The sequence below is a fragment of the Homo sapiens genome, chromosome 3, assembly GCF_000001405.40.
Source record: "Homo sapiens chromosome 3, GRCh38.p14 Primary Assembly".
NCBI lineage: Eukaryota > Metazoa > Chordata > Mammalia > Primates > Hominidae > Homo > Homo sapiens.
This window is the reverse complement of record NC_000003.12, coordinates 169808557-169829044: the sequence shown is the minus strand read 5'-3', so window position 1 is coordinate 169829044 and position 20488 is coordinate 169808557. Positions and strand designations below refer to the sequence as shown.

General features: G+C 42.3%; 2 protein-coding genes across 15 annotated transcripts in view, besides 3 other annotated features; one reads left to right on the top strand and one right to left on the bottom strand.

The window, feature by feature from the left end:
• Positions 1-16175, bottom strand: part of LRRIQ4 (leucine rich repeats and IQ motif containing 4) — a 24904-nt gene extending 8729 nt beyond the window's left edge. Inside the window, exons 1-4 of one of the 5 annotated variants that reach the window (XR_924128.2) lie at positions 15999-16175; positions 6104-7154; positions 2189-2309; positions 219-286 (exon numbers count right to left, since the gene is read on the bottom strand). Coding sequence is in view for 4 of the 5 variants with exons in the window: in NM_001080460.3 (NP_001073929.1) it covers positions 113-286; positions 6104-7123 (1194 nt within the window). In the remaining variant the exon portion in view is untranslated. Of the gene's footprint in view, positions 1-112; positions 287-2188; positions 2310-6103; positions 7155-15620 lie in introns of those variants that run through there. The other 4 variants (NM_001080460.3, XM_011512748.2, XM_006713613.5 and 1 more) reach the window with 4 other exon arrangements.
• Positions 14537-14586: an enhancer, noted in NCBI's record as "active region_20787". NCBI's record gives its function as "activates an Ori minimal core promoter by ATAC-STARR-seq in GM12878 lymphoblastoid cells {active_cell/tissue: GM12878}" and the evidence as "EXISTENCE:reporter gene assay evidence [ECO:0000049][PMID:35858748]".
• Positions 14877-14976: an enhancer, noted in NCBI's record as "active region_20786". NCBI's record gives its function as "activates an Ori minimal core promoter by ATAC-STARR-seq in GM12878 lymphoblastoid cells {active_cell/tissue: GM12878}" and the evidence as "EXISTENCE:reporter gene assay evidence [ECO:0000049][PMID:35858748]".
• The window catches only part of LRRC34 (leucine rich repeat containing 34), a 19902-nt gene continuing 15554 nt past the window's right edge, over positions 16141-20488 (top strand). For 6 of the 10 annotated variants that reach the window (XM_006713508.5, XM_011512442.3, NM_153353.5 and 3 more), the window contains exons 1-2: positions 16141-16635; positions 20300-20417. In XM_006713508.5, the coding sequence (XP_006713571.1) occupies positions 16497-16635; positions 20300-20417 (257 nt within the window). In that variant the 5' untranslated portion in view covers positions 16141-16496. Of the gene's footprint in view, positions 16636-16826; positions 16903-20299; positions 20418-20488 lie in introns of those variants that run through there. The other 4 variants (NM_001370608.1, NM_001363888.2, NM_001370609.1 and 1 more) reach the window with 2 other exon arrangements.
• Positions 16467-16766: a silencer, noted in NCBI's record as "silent region_14876". NCBI's record gives its function as "represses an Ori minimal core promoter by ATAC-STARR-seq in GM12878 lymphoblastoid cells {active_cell/tissue: GM12878}" and the evidence as "EXISTENCE:reporter gene assay evidence [ECO:0000049][PMID:35858748]".

The following is a 20488-nucleotide window of genomic DNA, read 5'->3' as shown; positions in this document are numbered from 1 at the left end:
TAGTATGGATGATTCTACATCCAGCCTGTGGAGACCTCATATTTTCTCAGTTTCAGCCAATTTAAGAGGCAGTGACAGGTGCTTCTTAGCCTGCTCATTTGGGGAGGCTTACCTGCAGTTTCCTAATGTGTTCTGGCACATAGGTAAGTTTGAATCCCTGGTCTTGCCCAATGTATAATTTCTCTAAAGACGCTAAAGAAAGGACTTCCTCCGGAAAGGAAAGGAACTCATTTCCTGTTAGTCCAAGTATCTTCAGTTTTGAAAGTGAGCCCAATTCTGAAGGTAACTAGAAGTATTCCAAAAAGATAAGTTTCAGGTCAAGATTATTTTTAACAGCAGAGATAAATTGGGCTTCTGGTTTTGAGGCAGACTGCTAAACAAGTGGAGTAACTTAGCCTCTCCTACTAGTGAAAAATTTGTGCACATATCTGCATTACAGTATTTATACTTGTAGATCTAAAGTCTCTGATTTCACTTTTATGCACCACTTTAAACTGGAGCAATTTTTTGTGGCTGGGCGCGGTGGTTTATGCCTTTAATCCCAGCACTTTGGGAGGCCAAGGCCAGTGGATCACCTGAGGTCAGGAGTTCAAGACCAGCCTGGCCAACATGGCGAAACCTTGTCTCTACTAAAAAATATAAAAATTAGCTGGGTGTGGTAGCGGGTGCCTATAATCCCAGCTACTCGGGAGGCTGAGGCAGGGGAATCTCTGGAATGTGGGAGGCAGAGGTTGCAGTGAGCCGAGATTGTGCCACTGCACTCCAGCCTGGGCGACAGAGCGAGAATCTGTCTCAAAAAAAAAAAAATTGGAGCAATTTTTAACCTATGTTCTTGCCATTTATGGACTGTAGTGTGGCAACTGTTTGACACTATAGAAAGAAAAATACTAAAGTTATGTGTAATATTGCAATAATAATATTCATTATAAATTCAGTTATTGGAACTAATAAATTTAGTGATATGACTCTTCATCCTAAAAGGCTTTAATAATTTTGAAACTTCAGTTGAAATCTCAGTTGGAGGCAAACATATATTCACACCATTTCTAATCAGTGTTCAGTGAACTCCATTATGATCCTATCGTGTCATGTTCTGCTTTTCAGTGAATACCCAGGCTTGTGTAACCTGTGTGGGAACTGGGTCGGCATTTCACAGAGTGCCACACTTTCAGGGCTGGAACGCCTTAAGAAGGTTCTCTATTTCAACCTTCTAATACAGTGCTTGCATACTTTTTATAGCGAGCCATCCAGTTTTATCTAAACACCACCTCCTGTGAAGAAAAGCTCATTATCTTCTATGGCTACTTCTAATCATCAGATTTCCTACTTTAGTACAGCCAAAATCAGCTTCACCATTATGTCCGTCTATCGGTTTCTTTCTGGACCATGGGAGACCACATGGGAAAAAAATCTCTTTTTTTTTTTTTTTTTTTTTTTTGAGACGGAGTCTCGCTCTGCCGCCCAGGCTGGAGTGCAGTGGCGCGATCTCGGCTCACTGCAAGCTCCGCTTCCCGGGTTCACGCCATTCTCCTGCCTCAGCCTCCCGAGTAGCTGGGACTACAGGCGCCCACCACCACGCCCGGCTAATTTTTTGTATTTTTAGTAGAGACGGGGTTTCACCATGTCAGCCAGGATGGTCTCGATCTCCTGACCTCGTGGTCCGCCCGCCTAGGCCTCCCAAAGTGCTGAGATTACAGGCATGAGCCACCGCACCCGGCGAAAAAATCTCATTCTTAAAATATGTGACAATCACCCTATTGACTGTGTTACAGAGATGCCTTATTTTCTCGTAGAAAAAAATCCCAGCTATATAGCTCAACAGCTCCTTAACTCATATGTTCCTTTATCTGGCTTAATTCCTAACTGGGAAATCCTTCCCCACAGTTCCCTGCTTGAGCCCATGGGCATTCTTCCCATCCATTCCCTAGTCAGCCACCCTACTTTCATTCTGGCTAGAGCTCAGCTGAGCCACTCCCACCCCCACCTCTCTATGGATGGGTGGAATAGACAGGTAATTGGTGAATGGGTCACTTACAGTTGGAGAAAAAGAAAGTTCACTGAGGACAACCTATCTGTAAAAGTTTCACATACTTGGAATCTTCCATAATGCATTTTTCTCTTTTTTGTGTAGAGTAAGGACTCATTTTCCTAAAAATGCTGTAACAGTTTTCCAGTTTTATTTATTTACCTATTTATTTTAATTAGATGAAGTCAATCTTTGGAGAAACTGATGTTTAAGCTTTCCTCTTTGGCTATTTCAAAATTCTTCATCAAGCACTTAGATGTCTTCAATACAAAATGCCTGCATTCTGTGCAGTCCAAAACAATGAAAAAAGATTTTTCAATCTAACCATTTTATTATAACCTAGAAATTTCATTCTTATTGCTGTTCACTTAACTCATAAAAGCTTAGCTTTTCTTTTTCAAAGCACATTGAATGTTCAAAAATTTTTTTTAGGAGTATTTAAGATCCAGTAGTTAGTTTCATCATAGTCATAGTAAAGTATAATGAGAAGAAATCTAGATGTATAGAAAATCTGTAGAGCATTAGATGAGGACAATTACTGATGACACTGTAACTGACATATAGCCATTTTGGGATCTGGTACATTGTTTTGGTTTTTTCCTTTTTCTTTTTCTTTTTTTTTTTTTGAGGCGGAGTTTCACTCTTCTTGCCTCGGCTGGACGGCAATGGTACAATCTTGGCTCATTGCAACCTCTGCCTCCTGGGTTCAAGCGATTCTCCTGCCTCAACCTCCCGAGTAGCTGGGATTACAGGTGCCCACTACCATGCCCGGCTAATTTTTGTATTTTTAGTAGAGATGGGGTTTCGCCACGTTGGCCAGGCTGGTCTCAAACTCCTGACCTCAGTTGATCCACTCGCCTCATCCTCCCAAAGTGTTGTGATTACAGGCGTGAGTCACCGCACGTGGCCTGCTTTTCTCCTTTAATAGAAGTATACTCTACAAATAAAATCCATCTAGGTACACATTGAAAATCAGATATTTTTTGCATGCACACAGGCAAGTAGAAGCTACTGGTTAGGCTTTAAGAGCTAGTAACCCATGAGTTGAGTCTTTGGGGAGGGAGAGATAATGAGCTGGCTTAAAGGCCATGTTTCATTGAGGAGAGAAATGCATTGGAAGGTGGTATTAGCATAAGAGGAAATTGAGAAGGGAGGACAAATGCACACACACACACAAAACCCATCAGAATAACTGAAGAGGAAAAAGCACTGGTACACAGAGATTGTCATGTTCAATACAATAATATTTAACATGTCTACATTTCAGTGCAGTTTGACTTGTGCTAAAACTTGGTATTGGATGAAGCTTATTTTTGTTAACAAGCAGTCTGTGTGTGATTTGCTCCTTTGATTTCTTAAAATTTCTCTCAGAAAAGGATTAGGTATTATTCATGGCTCAGTATAATGTGTTATCCCTCCCACATGTACTTTATATTTTAAGTCTTTCACTCCAACTGCAGAATGACTGACTTAGTCCACTAAAAGGAATTTCTTACATCAGCAGTGGAATAGTTCAGGGCCGGGCTCTCACGGAACCTCAAAAATCCTCCAAGGTGAGTTGCTACATCAGTGGAGATTAAGTCCTAGAATCTCGACCTAAATCTACAAGTTACCATCAAAATGTTTACTTCCTGAAAGGCAGCTTTAAAACCCCATAGCAATTTGGGGAAAAAAGTTCTAGAAATAAAAAATCAAATAAAAGATTTTTTTAGCAGCCGGGCACAGTGGCTCACGCCTGTAATCCCAGCACTTTGGGAGGCTGAGGTGGGCAGATCATGAGGTCAGGAGTTTGAGACCAGCCTGGCCAATATGGTGAAACCCTGCCTCTACTAAAAATACATAAATTAGCCGGGCGTGGTGGCAGGCACCTATAGTCCCAGCTACTCGGGAGGCTGAGGAAGGAGAATCGCTTGAACCTGGGAGGTGGAGGTTGCAGTGAGCTGAGATGGCGCCATTGTACTCCAGCCTGGGCAACAGAGCGAGAGCTCATCTCAAAAAAAAAAAAAAAAAGATTTTTAAAAATAAATCCGTAAGGCCCAGGACTTTTATAATTTATAGGGAACACATGAGACTGGTGTCCATGGCCAGGTAAAGCAGACCTATTATTTGATTATAGTTGTTGATTTCCAAATTCCCCTTTTTACTCCCTCTACAGTTGTCTTTTGCTCTTAACAGCTATTTTTTTCTTTTTAAATCAAATATTATAGGCCAGCCATGGTGGCTTACACCTGTAATCCCAGCACTTTGTGAGGCCAAAACGGGTGGATCACTTGAAGCCAGGAGTTTGAGACCAGCCTGGCCAACATGGTGAAACCCCGTCTCTATTAAAAATACAAAAATTAGCCGGGTGTGATGGCGCACACCTGTAGTCCCAACTACTTGGGAGGCTGAGGCAGGAGAATCGCTTGAACCCAGGAGGCAGAGGTTGCAGTGAGCCAAGATAGCACCACTGCACTCCAGCCTGGGTGACAGAGTGAGTGAGACTCCATCTCAAAAATAAATAGATAAATAAATAAAATTAAAATTGAAATAAATAGAATATTATAAAATAATAAAGAAACATAAACCCACGCGTGCCCAACTGCCCAAATCTTTTAATAAACAAAATGAAATACTGCAATTAAGTTCAGTCCCCTTATGATCTCTTCCCCATTTGCTTTCTTGGTTTTTAAAGACACATTCCTACATTGCCCAGCATGGTCTTGAACTTCTGGCCTCTAGTGATCCTCCCTCCTTGGCCCCCTAAACTGCTGGGATTAGAGGAGTGAGCCACTGCATCCAGCTGCTTCCCTATTTTGTTGACTTCCTTCTCTCTTCCCAGAGGCAGCCACCTTCATGAATTTAGTTTTCTTCCAGTCAATATTTTATATTTTCATTATATATAAAAATATCCATAAAATATGTGTTGTGTGTATATGTGTGTATGTATATACATATATGTGTGTATATATATAGTTTTGTGTGATTTCAAAATTTATAAATGGTATCATAAGGTTCTGCAGTTTGATGCGGAACCTTAGGTTTTCTTTTCAATAAACATCACAATACTGAGATCTATCCATATTGGCAATACAGTACCAGTTCACTTAAATTACTATATAACTTCGTTTTATGAATATATTGAAGTTTATTTGCCCACTCCCCTACTGACATTTAGATTGTCTCCCATAATTTCATGATTATCAACAATGCTAAATGACCATTTTTGAATATGCCACCCTGCACACACGGGACAGTTTCTGTTGGGACAAGTCTGGTTTTGCAGTTTCCTATGGATGGAACTTTAGGCTTCTAAGGCTGTTGTGTATTAGAAACATCTGCTGTTAACGGAAACTCTGTCAGGAGATTGTCTTTGTTAAGAATATAGACCCTGGGCCGTGCGCGGTGGCTCACGCTTGTAATCCCAGCACTTTGGGAGGCCGAGGCGGGCGGAACACAAGGTCAGGAGTTCGAGACCAGCCTGGACAACACCGTGAAACCCCGTCTCTACTAAAAATACAAAAATTAGCTGGGCATGATGGCAGGTGCCTGTAATCCCAGCTATTCGAAAGGCTGAGGCAGGAGAACCGCTTGAACCCGGGAGGTGGACGTTGCAGTGAGCCGAGATCACACCACTGCACTCCAGCCTGTGCAATAGAGCTAGACTCCGTCTCGGGGAAGAGAAAAAAAAAAAAAAAAGAATGTAGACCCTGGAGCCTGGCAGCTGTGGGCTGGAATCGCGGCTGCAGCACTTACAGGCTGTGTAACCTTGGATATGTTAGTTAAGCTCCCTGCCCCTCACTTCCTTCATATACCATTGAGGACACAGTCGTTGTGAGGTAAATGAGATGATCCATGTAAACACTTAGCTCAGTGACTGGCACATACACCCTCTAAATAAACATTAGCTACTATTATGATTACTGCTGCTGTTAGGGAAAAAGAGAGTAATACAAAGTATCACCTTGTTGGATATTTAGTAATCTTGGATTTTCGCCCATAAAGTCAGTTCAAATTTGCTGTTTAGATACAGAACCAACTTAGGGCAGGAAGGACCCTGGATGAGAGCATAGTGACAGCCAGAAAAGGAATCCGTACCTGTCCTATTTTATTGTCATCCAGTCCCAGGACTTCAAGGTTCTTCAGTGCACAGATCTGCAGCGGGCAGTGGTGCAGATGGTTCTGGCTTAGGTCCAGGAAGCGCAAGTTGACCAGGCACCTGAAGGAGCCCCGCAGCCTGTGCAGGCCGGTGTTTCCCAGGTAGAGCAGGTGCAGCGAGGTCCACCTGCAAATGAGGCGTGGCACCTTCTCCAGGCGGTTCCCGCTCAGCCCGATTTCCGTCATCTTCCTGAGCTCGGCGAAGCTCTTCGGGATGGAGTGGAGGAGGTTGTGGGATAAATCGAGCACCGACAGTTGGCTACACTGGCACAAGGACGCGGGCAGAACGGGAAGGTTGTTAGAAGCCATATAGAACTTCTGCAGCCCCGTCAGGTGTCCGATCTCTTCTGGGATGGCACCTATTTTGTTCTCGTCCAGGTCAATGATTTCCAGGGTGTAGAGAACACAGAGCTCCTGGGGGAAAACTTCAAACTGGTTTCGCTTCAGGTAGATCTCCCTCAGCTTGGTCTGGTTCACTATTTCCTTGGGCAGACATTTCAGGTGGTTTCCGGTCAGTCCGAGCAGCTCGAGATGGTGGAGGTTTTTAAAGATGACGACGGGAATTTCCTTCAGGTCGGTCTGGTAGAGCCGGAGCTCGCGCAGGGCGTGGAGGAAGCTGACAACGACAAGGGAGGAGGAGAAGATGGGGTTGTAGCTCAGGTCCAGGCTCTCCAGGCTGCTCAGCAGCCCCAGCGCCGGGCACAGGCTCCTCAGGTTGTTCTTATCCAGGTAGAGGACCCTGATGTTCTTTAAACGCTGAATCTCCTGGGGAATTTCTTCAATCTGGTTATTCTCCAAATGCACTTCTTCTAATTCTGTGAATGTGAAGATCTCCAAAGGAATGGCAGTCAAGCTCTGATTAGAGGCATCAATGAAAAATGTTCTATCATTGACGTGCTGTGGATCATTTCTCTGATGAATTTTAGGTGAATGTTCTACTGATTTTATGTCTTTTGACATTATTGTGAAGAAAAGCTCAAATATTCAAAATCTGAAATATTGTGAAAAGGATGAAAAAAAATAGAATTTACCTGCCACCAGACTTGCTATCCTTAAGAAAAATAAAATTAAAACCTAGTTGATTAAACTTAGTGCTTGAAATTATGACAGAACATAAAATTTAGGTTTTTGCATTTCATGTTAGAAGAATTAAAGTGTAGACTCCTTCCCCTAACACGTAGACTCACATGAAAAAAAAAAAGAGATTAACTTCAGTTTTATTTATTTATTTATTTATTTTTGAGACGGAGTTTCGCTTTTGTTGCCCAGGCTGGAGTGCAATGGTGTGATCTCGGCTTACTACAACCTCCGCCTCCTGGGCTCAAGTGATTCGATTCTCCTGCTTCAGCCTCCCGAGTAGCTGGGATTACAGGCACCCACCACCATGCCCAGCTAAATTTTTTTGTAATTTTAGTAGAGACGGGGTTTCACCATGTTGGCCAGGCTGGTCTCAAACTCCCGACCTCAGGTCCACCCGCCTTGGCCTCCCAAAATGCTGGAATTACAGGCATGAGCCGCCGTGCCCAGCCTAATTTCAGTTAAAAAAAAATGCCTATTCTGAATGTTTCCAGTAGGATGTAGAAGGTTGCAAAAGATCCTTGCTCTTACCATAACACTGAGAAAACACTAGGGAAAAACCTCATCTTTTAAAATACAGTATTTTTCCTTAAAACCACCAGAGAGTCGAAGATACAAAGAAAGCTAAAACAAAAACAAAAACAACAACAAAAACACTATATTCTAGAGATGCACCAACCTTTTCTAAATAACTAGAGACCCGTGAGTAGACCCTCTCATGCCTGATGGCATTTGCAAGTTTGAGGACTGTCAGGCAGAGAAACAACCCTTTAATAGGCACAGGCAAAGGAACTTCTGGGAGAAGAATAAACCTGCCAAACTTTTAACAGTCATGTGTGGGCTGGCATAGTGGATTAGAATCTGGAGTAGCCCCAAATGCAAAGTCAGTTCTCCCCACTAACTAGTTTTTCCCATTAGTCTTTGGCTGGTTAAACGGCCACAGGGAAAATTGCAGGCTGGACTAAAGAACAGAGACAGGTCCTGAAGTTTCATGGTCTTAAGTACCGAAGCCTGGCTGGAAGGAGCTTAACTCTGTCTAAGTGAGACATTTGGAACTGCGGTTAATTGAATGAACTAAAGCCCAACCCAGAAACAAATTAAAGTCTCTGATAAATGGAGGGACAAATCATGTCCATGGATTAGAATTCTCAGTAATGCTAAGATGTCGTGAACCCGGGGGGCGGAGCTTGCAGTAAGCCGAGATCGCGCCACTGCACTCCAGCCTGGGCGACAGAGCGAGACTCCGTCTCAAAAAAAAAAAAAAAAAAAGATGTCAATATTCCCCTAATTGGATCTATAGTTTTTATGCAATGTTAGTCAAAATTTTAGCAAACTTTTTTTTTTCTTTTTTGGTAGAAGTTGACAAGCTGATTCTAAAATTTATATGAAAATGCAAAGGAGCTAAAGATAATCTTTAGTGAAAACAAAATCAGCAGACTTACACTACTAGGCTTATAAATCTTATAAAATGCAAGATGTGAATATTGTATTTCAGAAGAGTAAGTCTTTAGTACACACACACACACACACACACACACACACACACACACACACAGAGTCTATGGGGAAAGGCAGAGAACAACATGACATGATAGTGGCAAGGTTGGCGGTAGCGTCTTTGAACTTCTTTTTAGAATGAAGGCAGTCCTGCTGGAGTATCTGGGCCTCTCATCCATCACAGAGGCCCAGTGCCTAGATGAAGGGGATACATTTCTAGCCCCATACATAATACTGCTATTCCTCAAAACACAACACTATGTGCTTCAGGTGCTTGTTGCTTTATGCCTGGACTCAAAACCAGCTCTGAGACAATGTTATTTAAAGAAAAGGAAAGATTTAACACTGATTTTGTTTAAAACTAGCTGTCTCCAGCATTTTTGTCACTTAGTCATCAGGCAGATTAAATTTATCTAATACTGTTCAGTCCTGTAAGATAAAATCTCCAGTTTCCTACTTGCAAATTTCTGAAAATTCTCCACAGTATGTAGACTGAGGTGATAATACAAATAAAAATAGGGAACACCAAGAACACTGATTATGTACTCCAGGCTTTACTTAAAGTAACCTAATTAATCTTCACAATAATCCTATGCAGGAGGCATCATTATTTGCCCTGTTTCCCAGATAAAGAAATTATATAACTAAAAGGGCTCTTCTCAGAACATGGTAGGAAGTGGGAGTAAGAGCAGAGAACTGGACACAACCTCACCTAGATTTTTAACATCACTCGTTTACAGGAAACCTGGCACTTATTAAAATCATTCTTCTCGGGTGTGAAATTTTAGACTTGATTTTATTGTGCAGCATTACAACAAAGTCAACTGGGAGAAATTTATGTGGATTAGAATTAATATGAGGGTGTCTGGGCTTCCAGACACATGAAATAACTTATTTCTCTTAGCATTCATCTTTCTCCATAATAAGACCTGCTTAGAATATCTGATTGTGTGTGTATGTTATCTCACCTTAATCATATACCCCATCAATTTGACGGCCCTCTGAAAGCTATATATATACACCCATATTTCACGTTCATTTGTGGATTTAATAAAAGGAGATTGTAAAACCCAGATTTGCAATAGCTTTGCCAGTAATTCTGCCACAGTAATTGAGAAAGGGGAAGATTTGGTCTTTATTGGCCATTTTTTCTCTAGGGATTGCTACACAAATGTGATCAAATTTACTTATTATTACAATCCAATATTATGGTCGGGTGATTTTTAAATTAAATAATTGTTACATCTTCATTTGAAGGAGCCAAGATTTGGATAGTTTAACAATTAGCTTTCTTTGTGTAACTCTAACCCCTGAGAAAATCATTTAAGAAACTAATCAGCCCTCTCAAATTTACAGTGAGTGTTGATGCTTTTGTTTCCAAGTCTGTCTATGCACAAACTAGATAGGTAAGACTAGGTTCCTGAGGTTAATATGGTGTGTGACTCTCTCTGTTAGCATAAAAACCCATTTCTAGTTAAAAGAATTTCAAGATTTTGCTTAAAACTTCACTCAGCAGAACTTCTCCTTCTAAAAACTGGTGAATCACAAACAAACTAAAAGTAACCTTAATTGACTTCAGACTGGATATTCATGTAATGGTAATAAAGAGTGGCAGAATATGCCACTCCAAAATATGCCACTTTGGTATGAGGATTACTTTAAGCTAAAGACACTTGAAAAATAGCAGATGCAATAAGTGTATTCTAATCTTCCCTTTCTCGCCTTGAAAACAGGAAATAAAACCTTCCATGTGAAACATGCCTTCCCTATACCAGAAAGAAAATTCTTCAACAGGGAGTCATAGCTGAGAGAATTCTGTACAAATACATCTTGTTAAAAAAAAAATTCCTGGAGGCAGAGCAAGATGGCTGAATAGAACCCTCTAGCAATCATCCCCTCCAACAGGAACACCAAATTGAACAACTATTCACACAAGAAATCATCTTCATAAGAACGAAAGATCAGGTTTGCAATCACAGTCCCTGGTTTTAACATCATAGCAAAGAAAGAGGCACTGAAGAAGGTAGGAAAGACAGTCCTGGATAGTCAGAACCATCCCTCCTCCAACCCCCAGAGCAGCCATGTGGCACAGAGAGAGAATAAGTGTGCTTCGGGGAGGGAGAGGAAAGTGACTGTGGGGCTTTGGAATGGACTTCAGTGCTGCCTGTCACAGTGGAAAGCAACATCGGGTAGAATTCAGGTGGTGCTCATGGAGGGAGCATTTAGACCAGCCCTAGCCAGAGGGGAATTGTCCATGCCAGTGGGTGGAACGTGAGTTCTGGCTAGCCCCACCACTGTGGGATAAAGTGCTCTGGGGGTTCTAAATAAACTTGAAAGGCAGTCTAGGTCACAAGGACTGCAATTCCTGGGCAAATCTTGATGCTGTGCTGGGCTCTGAGGAATTGCTCTTGAGGTGCTAAATGGATTTTAAAAAACAAGACCCAATGATCGATCTGTGGCCCACAAGAAATACATTTCACCTATAAAGACACACATAAGCTGAAAATAAAGGAATGGGAAAAGATATTCTATGCAAATGGAAAACAAAAAAGAGCAGGAGTAGCTATACATATATCAGACAAAATAGATTTCGAGACAAAAGCTATAAAAAAAGACAAAAAAGGTCATTATATAATGATAAAGGGGTTCATTCAGCAAGAGGATATAACGATCATAAATATACATGCACCCAACACTGGATCACCTAGTTATGTAAAGCAAATATTACTAGAGATAAAGAAAGAAATAGACTCCAGTACAATAATGGCTGTTGATTTCAGCATTGGATACTTTCAGCATTGGAGAGATCAAGACAGAAAACCAACAAAGCAGCATTGGACTTAATCTGCACTATAGACCAAATGTACCTAGATATTTACAGAACATTTCATCCAACAGCTGCAGAATACACATTCTTTTCCTCAGCACATGGATCTTCTCAAGGATAGACATATTTTAGGTCACAAAACAAGTCTTAAAAATTTTCAAAAATATCAAAATCATATTAAGTATCTTCTCTGAGCACAATGGAATAAAACTAGAAAGCAATAACAAGAGGAAATTTGGGAATTGTACAAACACGTGGAAATTAAACAACATGCTCCTGAATGACCAGTGGGTCAATGAAAAAATTAAGAAAATTAAAAAATTTATTGAAACAAATTAAAATGGAAACACAACATAACAAAACCTATGGGATACAGTGAAAGCAGTACTAACAGGCATGTTTATAGCAATAAGTGCCTACATCAAAAAAGCAGAAAACTTCAAATAAACAATGTAATGATGCATCTTAAAGAACTAGAAAAGTAAAAAACCAAACTCAAAGTTAGTAGAAGGCTGGGAGTGATAGCTCACGCCTGTAATCCCAGCACTTTGGGAGGCTGAGGCAAGTGGATCACCTGAGGTTGGGAGTTCAAGACCAGCTTGGCCAACATGGTGAAACCCTGTCTCTACTAAAAATATAAAAATTAGCCAAGCATTGTGGTGTGTGCCTGTAATCCCAGCTACTCAGGAGGCTGAGGCAAAAGAATCACTTGAACCCAGGAGGCAGAGGTTGCAGTGAGCTGAGATCATGCCACTGTACTCCATCCTGGGCAACAGAGCAAAACTCTGTCAAAAAAAAAAAAAAAAGTAGAAGAAAAGAAATCACAAAAATCAGAGCAGAAATAAATGAAATTAAAATAAAGAACAATGCAAAAAAATTAATAAAATGAAAAGTTGGGTTTTTTGAAAAGATGAATAAAATCAATAAACTTTTAGCCAGATTAAGAGAAAAAGAGAGAAGATCCAATAAATAAAATCAGAGATGAAAAAGGAGATATTACAACTGATACAGTAGAAATTCCAAGGATCAACTATATGTTAATACATTGGGAAACCTAGAAGAAATGGATAAATTCCTAGATATATACCATTTACCAAGATTGAACCATGAAGAAATCTGAAACCTCAATAGACCAATAGCAAGTAAAAAGATCAAAGTCATAATAAAAAGTCTCCTAGCAAAGAAAAACCTGGGACCCAATGGCTTCAATGCTGATTTTTATCAAACATTTAAAGAAGAACTAATACCAATCCTACTCAAGCTGTTCTGAAAAATAGAGGAGGAAAAACTACTTCCAAATTCGTTCTATGAGGCCAGTATTACCCTGACACCAAAACCAAAGACACACCAAAACAAACAAACAAGCAAACCAAAAAACAGAAAACTGTAGGGCAATGTCCCTGATGGATCTTCTCAGCGAAGATCCTCAACGAAAATGCTAGCAAACTGAATTCAACAACACATTAAAAAAATCATTCATCATGACCAAGTGGCATTCATCTTAGGAATGCAAGGATGGCTCAACATACACAAATCAATCAATGTGATACAACCTATCAACAGAATGAAGGACAAAAACCATATGATCATTTTAATTGATGCTGAAAAAGCATGTGATAAAATTCAACATCACTTCATGATAAAAGCCCTCAATAAACTGGGAGTAGATGGAAGATACCTCAACACGATAAAAACCATATTTGACAGGCCCGTAGGTAGTATCATACTGAATAGGAAATACTGAAAACCTTTTCTCTAAGATCTGGAACAATATAAGGATGCCCACTTTAACCACTATTATTCAGTGTAGCACTGGAAGTCTTAGCTAGAGCAATTAGAGAAGAGAAAGATATAAAGAGCATCCAAACTGGAAAAGAAGAACCCAAATTATCCTTGTTTGCAGATGATATAATCTTATATTTGGAAAATCCTTAAGACTCCACCAAAAAAAATTATTAGAATGGATAAACAAATTCAATAAAGTTGTAGGATACAAAATCAACATATAAAACTCAGTAGCATTTTTATATACCAACAGCAAACAATCAGAAAAAGTAAGAAAATAATCCCATTTACAGTAGCTACAAATAAAATAAAATACCTAAGAACAAACTCAACCAAAGAAGTAAAAGATCTCTACAATGAAAACTATAAAACATTGAAGTAAGAAATTAAAGAGGACACACACACAAAAAAAGGAAAGATATTTTATGTTCTTGGATTAGAATAATAATTATTGTTAAAATGTCCATTTTATCCAAAGCAATTTACAGATTATATACAATTCCTATCAAAATACCAAAGACCTTCTTCACAGAAATAGAAAAAATAATCCTAAAATTTGTATGAAACCACAAAAGATCCAGCATAGCCAAAGCTAACCTGAGCAAAAAGAACAAAACTGGAGGAATCACATTACCTAAATTAAAATTATATTGCAGAGCTAAAGTAGCCAAACTAGCATGGTACTGGCATAAAAATAGATACATAGACCAATGGAACAGAATAGAGAACCCAGATATAAATCCATCATCTACAGTGAACTCGTTTTTGACAAAGGTATCAGTAACATATATTGGGGAAAAGATAGTTTCTTCAATAACGGTTCTGGGAAAACTGGATATCCATATGCAGAAGAATGAAACTACACCCCTATCTCTTGCCACATACAAAAATCAAATCAAAATGGATTAAAGGGCCAGGCATAGTGCCTCACGCCTGTAATCCCAGCACTTTGGGCGGCAGAGGCAGGTAGATCACTTGAGGTCAGGAGTTTGAGACCAGCCTGGCCAACATGGTGAAACCCTGTCTCTACTAAAAATACAAAATTAGCTGGGCGTAGTGGGGGGCGCCTGTAATCCCGGCTATTCTGGAGGCTGAGGTGGGAGAATTGCTTGAAGCTCGGAGGCAGAGGTTGCAGTGAGCCAAGATCAGGCCACTGCACTTCAGCCTGGACCACAGAGCGAGACTCTGTCTCAAAAAACAAACAAACAAACAAACACCCCAAGACCCTAGTAGGCACAGACACAAGCGGCTGGATGTTGAGAGGAACACACCGGCGGAGGAGCACACAGGTGGCTGGACATTGAGAGGAACAGAGGAGCAGAAGAGCACACCGACAGGCACCAGCGGACGCTGCCAGGTCACCGACAAGCAGCACGATGTGTAGACCGAGGGGAATTTGGCCAGGGCAGTCAGTGGAGAGTCTGGCTGCTGAGCGGCCGGACTCCAGGGGAAAACCACCTTTCCACTCCATTCCCTTTCTGGCTCCCCATCCATCTGTTGAGAGCCACTTCCACCAATCAATAAAACCTTGCACTCATTCTCCAAGCCCACTGTGTGATCCGATTTTTCCGGTACACCAAGGCCAGAACCCCAGGAAACAGAAAGCCCTCTGTCCTTGCGGTAAGACAGAGGGTCTAACTGAGCTGATTGACGCAAGCCGCCTATACACAGCAAAACTGAAAGAGCACCCTGTAACACACGCCTACTGGGGCTTTGCTTCAGCAGCTGTAAGCATTCACCCCTAGACGCTGCGGTGAGTTCGGAGCCCACGTGCCCCACAACCTGCCCGTCTGCATGCTCCCCCTAGAGGTTTGAGCAGCGGAGCACCAAAGAAGCAAGCCACACCCCCATTGTTACCGGTAGAAGGTGTCCAGGTTCTTGGCGTCTTGAACAAAGAATTGGACAAAACGCACAAAGCAAGGAAGGAATGAAGGGATTTACTGAAAATGAAAGTATACTCCACAGTGTGGGAGTGGGCCGAGCACAGGGGCTCAAAGACCCCGTTACAAATTTTTTGGGAGTTTAAATATCCCTTAGAGGATTCCATTGGTTACTTAGAGTACGCCCTGTGTAAATGAAGAGGATGAAGTAAGGTTACAAAGTCGTTTATGGTGTACACCCTATGGAGAGGATATTTCCTGTTATAGCCGAAGTGCGAATCGGCCTTATGTTCCCTACCTCCAGACCCTATTTTCCTGCCTCACCATCGCATGCCCTGCAAGGGGGATAAGGAAACTATTACCATTTCAGTATCAAGGAAATGAAACTTACCAGATCGTCACATCTGGACAATGAGACACCAGATCCCTCACCCACCATGATTCCCTAAACGACCACCTGATTCCTGTTGACCAACTCCTCTTCCTTACCCCTCCCTAATTCCTGATTTCCTGCAAGTAGTCACATTTCTTTCTTGCTATGTAAACCCTTGATTCTAGTTGGTTGGGGAGACAGATTTGAGACTGATCTCCTCGGCTGCAGCACCAGATTAAAGCCTTCCTCCCTGGCAATTCTCATTGTTTCAGTGATTGGCATTCTGTGCCAGGAGCAGCTGGATCTAGACGGAACCCCTGGCCTTTTAGTAACACATGTGGATCTGGCCCTGCCCGCCTCCCCGCTGTCTGTACTGATCTGAGTACATTCAAGTACCTGCGCATGCCCAGAACGCACCAAGCATTCTGTCCTCTGGCAGCCTCCTTCGGACCATCCAGATGTCACCTCCTTCAGGAAGCCCTCCCTGGTGGCCCCGCCCTTTGGGAGCACAAAACCCTTTATGCTCCCAAAGCCCAACGCCTTTATCATGTGCTGATGCTACTCTGCTTCTTCGCTGGCCCGGCAGGCCGGTGCACACTTTGTAGGAGCGGGCTTTGTCATAATCTTCTTTGTAGCCCCAGCCCTAGCTCAGCAGCGGAGCCCCTCAAACCTCGGGAACTCCTCCCTGCAAAGGAGCCAGGACGCCCTCCCTCAGGCTGCCTTTAACCAGGGCAGGGTGACAAAGGACCTCCACAGAGTAGGCGGTCACTGCCTTAGCAGTGAGGCCTCAGGGCCCGGGCAGGCACAGCCAGCGGGACTCGAAGCAGGCTGGCGCCGAGGCTCGTGTAGCCGCCTCACAGCTGCAGGCGGACTGTAAGTGCGCGCGCGGTCGCCATGGCAGCGCAGCCGCCGCGGCCAGTGGGTGAGAGGAGCATGGGGAGCTCCCGGGAGGCCGCCCGTGCGCCGGCCAGGTCCCCGGCTTGGGCCTCCACTCAGGCCAGTACTCCGGGCGCGGCCCTGGCGGTCCAGCGCGGTAAGAAGTAGGGAGCACGTCTGCGCGGCCTGGCCCAGACAAAACGCGCGAGGGGCGCCGGGGTCGCACGGCAGGAGTCCTCCCAGCAGCCCGCCAGCCCAAGGCGTCGAGGCGGGAGGGGGGCCCCTGGGAACCCCAGCTGTGGCCAGAGGTTTGGGGCGCCCAGAAACGAGGGCAGGAGAAGAGTCCCCGGTCGCCCTTTGCGACCGGGGGCAGGAGAGGAGTCCACGGAGAGGAGTTCCCGTGGGTCCGCCCTTTGCGCGATAGGTTGTGCAGATGGTGTCTGTCGCCGTGCTCTCAGGGTCTCCGGGAGGGGGTGGCGGGGGGGCTCTTCTCAGCCCCCTTTTTGTGAAAGTCCCAGAGAGCAGGTCACAGGGGGGCATGAGGGTCTTGATACTGTTTCTGACTTTGCACCTCTGTACTATCTCCGTTTTAAATATTTCTGCGCCCATGATTAGCAAGTTAAGCACCTACCCTGAACGGCCACCCCCTACCCGCCATTTCCGTTTTATATGCTGGTTTTAAAGTCTGTTTGTGGATACGGAACTGTGTTCGGAGGCTGGCTTAATAATACTGCATCCAGGAGATGGGCAGTGTTAGGCTCTGCCTTTAGCATGAGAGGAAATTTAAGCTGGCATAACAACTTGTTCAAATGTACACACTGCGGATTCTGGATAGGGCACCCACGTTCTGACTCATGCTTATCGCTTAGATTTCCCAGTGCTTGGCTAAGTATAGAAAAGCATGTTTTGGAGGGATCTACCTCCTAAGTAAGTCCTCTCTCTGGAAATTGTTAAAACGTGGCTGCCAGAGGCGTGGATGAAAAAATGAAATTTGGGTTAGGTTCTTGACATTTTCCTGCGTAGCTGGGTTATTTCCTAGTTTTTGCTTTACAATTTGAAGGCTATTTTCCTTCTAATATGAATACAATATAGGAAATAAATTCATTGGTGCCACAAAATCCTGGCATACAAAATACGTAGGTGAATTTTAAATCAAAGGAAGGGTAGCAGAAACTTTTAAATACTGTAAATCTCTGGCTAGCTTGTTAAATAAGAATATTTCCATAACTTTGTTTAGCTGTATTTAGCTCGTAGTCTAAGATTCCTTCATGCCTTCGCGAAAATGAATTGTAGTCTGACACATTTCTGTGCCCTCGGAGATTCTCAGGGCAATTTTTCTCTTAATACCAAGGAAGACAGTAGGGAAGAAAGAAGCCCAGTGGGAGCCCAGCTCCAACTTCTATTTGGGATCTACTTGCTTTGTTTCCTGGGGAGGACGCTAAAGCAGCATTTTCTAGATTGCATTCCAAGTGAGGTTTTTGTTTTGTTTTGTTTTTGAGATGGAGTCTCCTCTGTCGCCCAGGCTGGAGTGCAGTGGCGCGATCTCTGCCCACTGCAACCTTGTAACCTCCACCTCCCGCATTCAAGCGATTCTGTCGCCTCAGCCTCCGAAGTAGCTGGGACTACAGGCATGCGCCACCACACCAGCTAATTTTTGTATTTTTGGTAGAGATAGGGTTTCACCATATTGGCCAGGCTGGTCTCGAACTCCTGGCCTCAAGTGATCCGCTCGCCTCGGCCTCCCAAAGTGCTGGGATTACAGGCGTAAGCCACCGCACCCGGCCGGAAATGCAGCATTCTTATCCTCCCTATTCTCAAGCTTAACAGTTTGCAGAGTGTGCACGTTTTAAATGCCCTGAGAAGTGTTGTGTCTGTGTATAGTTTTGTTTATTTTAGTACTTCTCAGACTTACTTGATAATAAGACCTATTCTATTTGGAACACCTTTGATCATCCTGTAGAACATGCATATTCCACAAAATACAGTTTGGGAAATATTGTGCTACAATATCATTTAAATACATGAAAATTTTCTAAAATAGGTGAAGCTTTTTTTAATACGTACATCTATCCACATGACAGAAATTATGCTATTTAAATTTTTCAGAGAATATCTAGTGACATGGGAAAACTGCTTACAATATAATGTTAATTTAAAAAACAGCATATAAAGTTATATCCAAAGATTCCAATTTTGTTTAAAAAATACTTAATATGCATATAAAAGAAAAACTATAGGAAGTATGTATGCCTAGACCTCAATTGTGGTTGTTCTTTGGCAGTGGGATTGCAGATTAACATGTATTTTTTTTTAATGTTAGAAATTTCCGGTCGGGCTCAGTGGCTCACCTGTAATCCCAGCACTTTGGGAGGCTGAGGCAGGCTGATCACTTGAGGTCAGGAGTTTGAGACCAGCCTGGCCAACATGGTGAAACCCCGTCTTTATAGCTGGGTGTGGTGGTGTGTGCCTGTAGTCCCAGCTACTCGGGAGGCTGAGGCAGGAGAATCGCTTGAACCCGGGAGGCAGAGGTTGCAGTGAGCCGAGATTGCGCTCCTGCTCTCCAGCTTGGGTGGCAGATCAAGAACCTATCTCAAAAAAAAAAAAAAAAGAAATTTCCAAATTGTCTGGAATAAGTATATTAAATTTATTTTTAAAAAGGTTATTAAAAACTATAAGAAAATTTTGTTTGCTTTCATCTGAAATGTAATGTTCCTCATGTTAAATCTCGTTCTGCAGATCCGTTTAGCAAACTCATTATTCTTCAGAGTGCAAAGGACACTCAGTAAACAACATTTCTGAGATGTAGAGACTTAGAAGAGAAGCCAGCTCCTAAAAAGCTAGGCTGGTTGAGCAATGAGATCTCTGTGCACAAATTTTTAAAAGACATCCACAAAAGGTAGATGTATAGAAAACAAAGACAGTGGCCTGTACTTCTAAGAAAAGTAACAGCATAACTTCCACCCCAGAAGATGTAGGCCTTGCAGAAGATGCTTTTGAGGTATTACTGAGAACAGCAAGGTCATTAAGGAAATCTGCATGTATAACAGAAAGGAGATCTCAACTCCTGCTTTGTGTCTGTCTTCTTAAGAACTTAGGGAAAAGTCACCTTTAGAAAGAGGAAATGGAAGGCTGGGTAGGAGAAGAGCTTCTGTGAGCCAGGCCTCGATTTGGTATGAAGAAATGACAGTTACATTCAAACTTGGGATGGTGTAGAGGGTATCCAAGAAGCTTGTGGGAGTAGGTGCTTTATCAGATCCCTTTTGAGTTAGGTTATTAGATAAAATTGTTTTTATGTGAAGCTATTTTAAGAAACCTTTTCCTCTCGTGGATGCTGAGATACTGAGTTGAAAAAAAAAAAAAAAAAAAAGAAACCTTGAGTCCCTGTAACCCATTAGGGCACAGTGGAAAGAGGTTTTGGAATCAGTTTGATTCTGCACTCTGCCTTTATTAGCTGCATGGTTTTGGACAAAATATACAATTTCTTTGGAAGTCATTTTCCTCAGCTACCAGGCCTGGCACATAATGGAGCTTAGTTCTCCCTTTATGTCACTTCCAACGTAGGGTGCTCACTTGAGCCAGTGTCTGCCAAGCCTCAATGGGTGCTTCAATGGCCCTAGTTCTCCAAACAGCATTTTAATTATCTCTCCCATTCATTATTTTTATTTCTCTTCTCTTTTTCTAACCTTAATTCTGTTTCCTTTTCTTCCCTACCCCCACTATACACACATACAACTCATATATTTGAAAGAGGTAGTTTTTATGGTTTTTTTTAAAGCTTCTAGAATAATTTATATGTGATAGAGGATGCATATATTTTTCAGAATCTCCAGAATCTGGTCTCCAGAAACATTATTCTAATCTGTGTATGGAAAAATCCCAGAAAATTAATCCTTTTATATTGCATATACTCCAAGAAGTGGATGAAGAAATTAAAAAGGGGTAAGAAAGACAAATACTTGATTACATTAATAGTGTTTGCTTATATTCATGTGTGTGAAAATCCTAACATA